The 9709-nt window shown below is 38.0% G+C and overlaps 1 pseudogene; it reads left to right on the top strand.

The window, feature by feature from the left end:
- UGT2B29P (UDP glucuronosyltransferase family 2 member B29, pseudogene) lies at window positions 1226–1979 on the top strand (annotated as a pseudogene).

Here is a 9709-nt window from a genome sequence, read left to right as displayed (position 1 = left end):
TCCGTATCAAAATCCCAGATTGCTTCTTTGTATAAACAGACAAACTGATCCTGAAATTTATGTACATATTCAAGAGACATACTAATAGCCAAAAGAAGCTAGGTATAGTGAAACACACCTGTAATTCCAGCTACTCAAGAAGCTGTGTTGGGAGGATTGCTTGAGCCCAGAAATTTGAATCTAGCCTGGGCAATATAGTAAGACTTCTATCTCTTAAAAAAAAAAAAAAAAAAACAAGAAGAAAAAAATTAAAAAAAAAACTGAAACAATTTAAATAAAAAAAAGCTGGAAAACTTACATTTCCTGCCTTTAAAGACAAATACAAATATATGATAATCAAGAGAGTGTGATACAGGCCTACAGATAGACATGTAGATCAATGGAATGATTTTAGAACATAGAAATATGCCCATGCATTTAAAGTTTTTGACAAAAGTTTCAAAACGTTTTAATAGGGGAAAGAATAGATTATTCAACAAATATAAGTGGGAAAAATGATTATCTGTATACAAAATAATTAAGTTGGGACCCTCTACCTCAAATCACTTACAAAAGCTAATTCATAGGTGATCAAAAACTTAAATGTAAGCACTAGAACTATAAAACTCTAATAATAAATAACAGGTACTAATTTTCATAACTTGGAAATGGTTTGTGAGATATAAAATCAAAAATAAAAGCAACCAAATTAAAATTGATTAGTTGGACTTCATTAAAATCAATACTTTTGTGCTTCAATTAACACCATTAAGAAAGTAAAAGGACAGCCCAAAGAATAAAAAAATACAAGGAAATCATACATGTGATAAGGTTCTTACATCAAAAATATTAAAAACACAAGTCCATAAGAAGACAAATAATTCAATCAAAACTAGGCAAAACATTCTCAACATGATTTCATATCAAGGAAAGGTAAAGCATAATGAGATATCACTTCATTCACACTGGCTATAATCAAACGAAATGTAATCCCAAGTGTTGGCAATGTTGGGAAGAAATTAAAATTCTTATACATTGCTGGTGAGAATGGAAATGGAAGCAACCACTGTGAAAAACAATCTGAAAATTCCTATGGTAATTTAGAAATTGTATGGTAACAGACAATTCCTATGATAATTTAGAAATTATATGGTAACTGCTACTTTGAATTGTAGCAGTTATACTTTCACTTGATTGATTTATGCTCAGATGTAAGTATGAGAAAGACAGAAAGAAACAGCAATTTGAAAAGAAACATTGCATTGCACCAGGAGGACATTGAAATCGATGTCAAATATTCTCCTGATACAACTCAGTTGTTACTTTAGCTCTGGGAGTTGTGGAAAGGTGCTGCTGTGGCCCACAGAATACAGCCATTGGATGAATATAAAGACAATCCTGGATGAACTTGTTTGGAGAGGCCACAAGATGACTGTGTTGACATCTTCGGCTTCCATTATTATTGACCCTAGTAAATCATCTGCTATTAAATTTGAAGTTTATCCAACATCTCTAATTAAAAATAATTTTGAGGGTCTTGTTGTGAAACTGATCAATAGATGGATATACGATCTTCCAAAAGATGCATTTTGGTCATATTTTTCACAAGCACAAGAACTCTTTTGGGAATCTACAGACTGTGTTAATAATCTCTGTAAAGATGTAGTTTTGAACAAGAAAATTACGACAAAACTACAAGAGTCAAAGTTTGATGTCGTTCTTGCAGATGCCCTTGGTGCCTGTGGTGAACTGCTAGCTGAGCATGTTAAAGGCATGTTAAATACATGTCCTTTGTTGACAGTCTCCTGGCTACACACTTGAGAAGTATAATGGAGGACTTCCATTCCCCATTTCCCGCATACCTGCTGTTCTGTCTGAATTAAGTGGTAAAATGACATTCGTGGAGAGGATTAAAAATCTAATACATGTGCTTTATTTTGACTTTTGGTTTCAAATGTTTGATACGAGAAGTGGGAGAAGTTTTACAGTGAAGTTCTAGGTAAGTCATGTTTCTAATCAATGATTAATAAGTCCTAACTTTCCTTTTGCCTTTGAAGGTGAGCGTATATAAATATAATGTAAGAGGATAGTGTTGTTTAAATGAAATGATGAATGCCAAATGTAAGATGATCTATCAATCTCACAAATATTATAGAAATGTTGATATTATAGGCTCAGCTAGAACCCTTTGGTCATCACTCCTATAGGACACTACAGGAATTAAAAAAAAAAAAACTACAAAGTAAAGCACTTATGATTTCTTTAAGCAACTATATACGTATTTTACTATACTTTTTTCATCTTTAAAAAAGGCAAAACATATATCAATAAACAACTTGATGAAGGCAGACATTTAGATGAGGAGCTACACATATTTCTAGCATAACTATCAATGCAGCATTGAGAAACTTGTTTCTCTTTGTGTACCTCAGTTTTCTTATTTAGGTATTAAAATATTTTTCTCTATAAACAGAAGGATTCCTTCACAGTTGAGAGGTATACTGGCTCTATTTCAGAAACAGAAACCTAAAATTTGAGGTTTCTAGTGTTTGTATATCATTCACTAACAACTGAGAAATTATTTGCTTTGTGAATTAAAATCTTGTTGAAAGTGAACATTCAAGCTTTTAATCTATACTTTATTAACTACATCTCTTTATTAGGGAAAATATGGGCCAAGTTAAGGGGGAGCACATATCTCTGTTTCAATAAATTCTGAAAATATACTAGCTATCATTTTTAATGTATGTATTTTAAAGCTAATATTGTTAAAATCTTAACGTGAACTAGAAGCAGTAGTATGTTCAAGGATTTCAGGCATACTCTCAGAAAACTCACAGTTCACTTGGAGAACCAAGGATCAAGGGACTGACTTGATAAATTGTGGAAACGAGATTGTGCACTTCGTAGAAAGCTGTTTTTATGAGTATAGTAAGATGAATTCATCCTGGAGCTCAAAGAGCTGTTTAAATGTATATCAGTTACTACTGCAGTTTCAGAGAGGAAACAAATGCATATTTAAGTCCATAGTGGCTTATTTTAATAACTATTTGAGATTGTGAATATACTAATGTTACATTAAATATGTAATTTCCGAAGATGGCCGAATAGGAACAGCTCAGGTCTACAGCTCCCAGTGTGAGCGACGCAGAAGACAGGTGATTTCTGCATTTCCATCTGAGGTACCGGGTTCATCTCACTAGGGAGTGCCAGACAGTGGGCACAGGTCAGTGGGTGCGCGTACCATGCGTGAGCCAAAGCAGGGCGAGGCAATGCCTCACTTGGGAAGCACAAGGGGTCAGGGAGTTCCCTTTCCGAGTCAAAGAAAGGGGTGAGGGACGTACCTGGAAAATCGGGTCACTCCCACCCAAATACTGGGCTTTTCCGACGGGCTTAAAAAATGGTGCACCACGAGATTATATCCCGCACCTGGATCGGAGGGTCCTACGCCCATGGAGTCTCGCTGATTGCTAGCACAGCAGTCTGAGATCAAACTGCAAGGTGGCAGTGAGGCTGGGGGAGGGGCGCCCGCCATTGCCCAGGCTTGCTTAGGTAAACAAAGCAACAGGGAAGCTCGAACTGGGTGGAGCCCACCACAGCTCAAGGAGGCCTGCCTGCCTCTGTAGGCTCCACCTCTGGGGGCAGGGCACAGACAAAAAGACAGCAGTAACCTCTGCAGACTTAAATGTCCCTGTCTGACAGCTTTGAAGAGAGCAGTGGTTCTCCCAGCACGCAGCTGGAGATCTGAGAACGGGCAGACTGCCTCCTCAAGTGGGTCCCTGACCCCTGACCCCCAAGCAGCCTAACTGAGAGGCACCCCGCAGCAGGGGCACACTGACACCTCACACGGTGGGGTATTCCAACAGACCTGCAGCTGAGGGTCCTGTCTGTTAGAAGGAAAACTAACAAACAGAAAGGACATCCACACCAAAAACCCATCTGTACATCACCATCATCAAAGACCAAAAGTAGATAAAACCACAAAGATGGGGAAAAAACAGAACAGAAAAACTGGAAACTCTAAAAAGCAGAGCGCCTCTCCTCCTCCAAAGGAACATAGTTCCTCACCAGCAACGGAACAAAGCTGGATGGAGAATGACTTTGACGAGCTGAGAGAAGAAGGCTTCAGACGATCAAATTACTCTGAGGTACGGGAGGACATTCAAACCAAAGGCAAATAAGTTGAAAACTTTGAAAAAAATTTAGAAGAATGTATAACTAGAATAACCAACACAGAGAAGTGCTTAAAGGAGCTGATGGAGCTGAAAACCAAGGCTCGAGAACTACGTGAAGAATGCAGAAGCCTCAGGAGCCGATGCGATCAACTGGAAGAAAGGGTATCAGCAATGGAAGATGAAATGAATGAAATGAAGCGAGAAGGGAAGTTTAGAGAAAAAAGAATAAAAAGAAATGAGCAAAGCCTCCAAGAAATATGGGACTATGTGAAAAGACCAAATCTACGTCTGATTGGTGTACCTGAAAGTGATGGGGAGAATGGAACCAAGTTGGAAAACACTCTGCAGGGTATTATCCAGGAGAACTTCCCCAATCTAGCAAGGCAGGCCAACATTCAGATTCAGGAAATACAAAGAACGCCACAAAGATACTCCTCGAGAAGAGCAACTCCAAGACACATAATTGTCAGATTCACCAAAGTTGAAATGAAGAAAAAAATGTTAAGGGCAGACAGAGAGAAGGGTGGGCTTACCCTCAAAGGGAAGCCCATCAGACTAACAGTGGATCTCTCGGCAGAAACCCTACAAGCCAGAAGAGAGTGGGGGCCAATACTCAACATTCTTAAAGAAAAGAATTTTCAACCCAGAATTTCATATCCAGCCAAACTAAGTTTCATAAGTGAAGGAGAAATAAAATACTTTACAGACAAGCAAATGCTGAAAGATTTTGTCACCACCAGTCCTGCCCTAAAAGAGCTCCTGAAGGAAATGCTAAACATGGAAAGGAACAACCGGTACCAGCTGCTGCAAAATCATGCCAAAATGTAAAGACCATTGAGACTAGGAAGAAACTGCATCAACTAACTAGCAAAATAACCAGCTAACATCATAATGACAGGATCAAATTCACACATAACAATATTAACTTTAAATGTAAATGGACTAAATGCTCCAATTAAAAGACACAGACTGGCAAATTGGATAAAAAGTCAAGACCCATCAGTGTGCTGTATTCAGGAAACCCATCCCACGTGCAGAGACACACATAGGCTCAAAATAAAAGGATGGAGGAAGATCTACCAAGCAAATGGAAAACAAAAAAAGGCAGGGGTTGCAATCCTAGTCTCTGATAAAACAGACTTTAAACCAACAAAGATCAAAAGAGACAAAGAAGGTCATTACATAATGGTAAAGGGATCAATTCAACAAGAAGAGCTAACTATCCTAAATATACATGCACCCAATACAGGAGCACCCAGATTCATAAAGCAAGTCCTAAGTGACCTACAAAGAGACTTAGACTCCCACACATTAATAATGGGAGACTTTAACACCCCACTGTCAACATTAGACAGATCAACGAGAGAGAAAGTCAACAAGGATACCCAGGAATTGAACTCAGCTCTGCACCAAGCGGACCTAATAGACATCTACAAAACTCTCCACCCCAAATCAACAGAATATACATTTTTTTCAGCACCACACCACACCTATTCCAAAATTGACCACGTACTTGGAAGTAAAGCTCTCCTCAGCAAATGTAAAAGAACAGAAATTACAACAAACTATCTCTCAGACCACAGTACAATCAAAGTAGAACTCAGGATTAAGAATCTCACTCAAAACCGCTCAACTACATGGAAACTGAACAACCTGCTCCTGAATGACTACTGGGTACATAACAAAATGAAGGCAGAAATAAAGATGTTCTTTGAAACCAATGAGAACAAAGACACAACATACCAGAATCTCTGGGACGCATTTAAAGCAGTGTGTAGAGGGAAATTTATAGCACTAAATGCCCACAAGAGAAAGCAGGAAAGATCCAAAATTGACACCCTAACATCACAATTAAAATAACTAGAAAAGCAAGAGCAAACACATTCAAAAGCTAGCAGAAGGCAAGAAATAACTAAAATCAGAGCAGAACTGAAGGAAATAGAGACACAAAAAACCCTTCAAAAAATTAATGAATCCAGGAGCTGGTTTTTTGAAAGGATCAACAAAATTGATAGACCGCTAGCAAGACTAATAAAGAAAAAAAGAGAGAAGAATCAAATAGACGCAATAAAAAATGATAAAGGGGATATCACCACTGATCCCACAGAAATACAAACTACCATCAGAGAATACTACAAACACCTCTACGCAAATAAACTAGAAAATCTAGAAGAAATGGATAAATTCCTCGACACATACACTCTCCCAAGACTAAACCAGGAAGAAGGTGAATCTCTGAATAGACCAATAACAGGATCTGAAATTATGGCAATAATCAATAGCTTACCAACAAAAAAGAGTCCAGGACCAGATGGATTCACAGCCGAATTCTACCAGAGGTACAAGGAGGAACTGGTACCATTCCTTCTGAAACTATTCCAATCAATAGAAAAAGAGGGAATCCTCCCTAACTCATTTTATGAGGCCAGCATCATTCTAATACCAAAGCCAGGCAGAGACACAACCAAAAAAGAGAATTTTAGACCAATATCCTTGATGAACATTGATGCAAAAATCCTCAATAAAATACTGCCAAATCGAATCCAGCAGCACATCAAAAAGCGTATCCACCATGATCAAGTGGGCTTCATCCCTGGGATGCAAGGCTGGTTCAATATACACAAATCAATAAATGTAATCCAGCATATAAACAGAGCCAAAGACAAAAACCACATGATTATCTCAATAGATGCAGAAAAAGCCTTTGACAAAATTCAACAACCCTTCATGCTAAAAACTCTCAATAAATTAGGTATTGATGGGACGTATTTCAAAATAATAAGAGCTATCTATGACAAACCCACAGCCAATATCATACTGAATGGGCAAAAACTGGAAGCATTCCCTTTGAAAACTGGCACAAGACAGGGATGCCCTCTCTCACCACTCCTATTCAACATAGTGTTGGAAGTTCTGGCCAGGGCAATGAGGCAGGAGAAGGAAATAAAGGGTATTCAATTAGGAAAAGAGGAAGTCAAATTGTCCCTGTTTGCAGAAGACATGATTGTATATCTAGAAAACCCCATTGTCTCAGCCCAAAATCTCCTTAAGCTGATAAGCAACTTTAGCAAAGTCTCAGGATACAAAATCAATGTACCAAAATCACAAGCATTCTTATACACCAACAACAGACAAACAGAGAGCCAAATCATGAGTGAACTCCCATTCACAATTGCTTCAAAGAGAATTAAATACCTAGGAATCCAAATTACAAGGGATATGAAGGACCTCTTCAAGGAGAACTGCAAACCACTGCTCAAGGAAATAAAAGAGGATACAAACAAATGGAAGAACATTCCCTGCTCATGGGTAGGAAGAATCGATATCGTGAAAATGGCCATACTGCCCAAGGTAATTTACAGATGCAATGCCATCCCCATCAAGCTACCAATGCCTTTCTTCACAGAATTGGAAAAAACTACTTTAAAGTTCATATGGAACCAAAAAAGAGCCCGCATCACCAAGTCAATCCTAAGCCAAAAGAACAAAGCTGGAGGCATCACGCTACCTGACTTCAAACTATACTACAAGGCTACAGTAACCAAAACAGCATGGTACTGGTACCAAAACAGAGATATAGATCAATGGAACACAACAGAGCCCTCAGAAATAACGCCGCATATCTACAACTATCTGATCTTTGACAAACCTGAGAAAAACAAGCAATGGGGAAAGGATTCCCTATTTAATAAATGGTGCTGGGAAAACTGGCTAGCCATATGTAGAAAGCTGAAACTGGATCCCTTCCTTACACCTTATACAAAAATCAATTCAAGATGGATTAAAGACTTAAACGTTAGACCTAAAACCATAAAAACCCTAGAAGAAAATCTAGGCATTACCATTCAGGACATAGGCATGGGCAAGGACTTCATGTCTAAAACACCAAAAGCAATGGCAAGAAAAGCCAAAATTGACAAATGGGATCTAATTAAACTAAAGAGCTTCTGCACAGCAAAAGAAACTACCATCAGAGTGAACAGGCAACCTACAGAATGGGAGAAAATTTTTGCAACCTACTCAACTGACAAAGGGCTAATATCCAGAATCTACAATGAACTCAAACAAATTTACAAGAAAAAAACAAACAACCCCATCAAAAAGTGGGCAAAGGACATGAACAGACACTTCTCAAAAGAAGACATTTATGCAGCCAAAAAAGACATGAAAAAATGCTCATCATCACTGGCCATCAGAGAAATGCAAATCAAAACCACAATGAGATACCATCTCACACCAGTTAGAATGGCAATCATTAAAAAGTCAGGAAAAAACAGGTGCTGGAGAGGATGTGGAGAAATAGGAACACTTTTACACTGTTGGTGGGACTGTAAACTAGTTCAACCATTGTGGAAGTCAGTGTGGCAATTCCTCAGGGATCTAGAACTAGAAATACCATTTGACCCAGCCATCCCATTACTGGGTATATACCCAAAGGACTAAAAATCATACTGCTATAAAGACACATGCACACGTATGTTTATTGTGACATTATTCACAATAGCAAAGACTTGGAACCAACCCAAATGTCCAACAATGATAGACTGGATTAAGAAAATGTGGCACATATATACCATGGAATACTATGCAGCCATAAAAAATGATGAGTTCATGTCCTTTGTAGGGACATGGATGAAATTGGAAATCATCATTCTCAGTAAACTATCGCAAGAACAAAAAACCAAACACCACATATTCTCACTCATAGGTGGGAATTGAACAATGAGATCACATGGACACAGGAAGGGGAATATCACACTCTGGGGACTGTGGTGGGGTAGGGGCAGGGGGCAGGGATAGCATTGGGAGATATACCTAATGCTAGATGACGAGTTAGTGGGTGCAGTGCACCAGCATGGCACATGTATACATATGTAACTAACCTGCACAATGTGCACATGTACCCTAAAACTTAAAGTATAATAAAAAAAAGAAAAAGAAAAAAATATATGTAATTTCCTCTTAATTCTCTGAACATTTTGCTTTCCTTATATATAAGTAATATGCAATATATAAAATTGTTATGCTTATATATAAAAATATATGTATATATTTATTTTATTAATGTACATTATTTGAGACAATGGGGAAAGCTGAAGTGTGGCTCATTCAAACGTACTGGGATTTTGAATTTCTTCACCCACCCTTACCAAATGTCGATTTTGTGGGGGAACTCCACTGTAAACCAGCCAAAACCCTGCCTAAGGTAAATGTATTCATGTTTGATTTATTTGCTTTGCATTTCAGAAGGAATGGCCAGATATGTTTTCATTCAGAGTGTTTGACTCACAGTGAGAGAAATACGGGAGGTCAAAGAAAGTGACCTACCATTAGAAACTCATATGTTGCTATATCATCACAACTGTGTAAACTTTAGTGTCATTAAATATCAAAGAGGGATACTAAAGAGACTCTGAAAACAGGGTTGATTCAATGAAAGCCTTCATTGTGCAATGTAAAAAAAAAAATAAGTCATTCCTTCAAGGAATATTTATGAATTGATCAGCACAAACCACGGATAAGTGCTGGATTTTCAGAGAAGAAATGTAGGCACT

The sequence above is a fragment of the Homo sapiens genome, chromosome 4 (assembly GCF_000001405.40).
Source record: "Homo sapiens chromosome 4, GRCh38.p14 Primary Assembly".
In the NCBI taxonomy this organism is placed as follows: Eukaryota; Metazoa; Chordata; class Mammalia; order Primates; family Hominidae; genus Homo; species Homo sapiens.
Note: the sequence above shows the minus strand (reverse complement) of the source record. Positions and strands in the feature narration are given on the sequence as shown.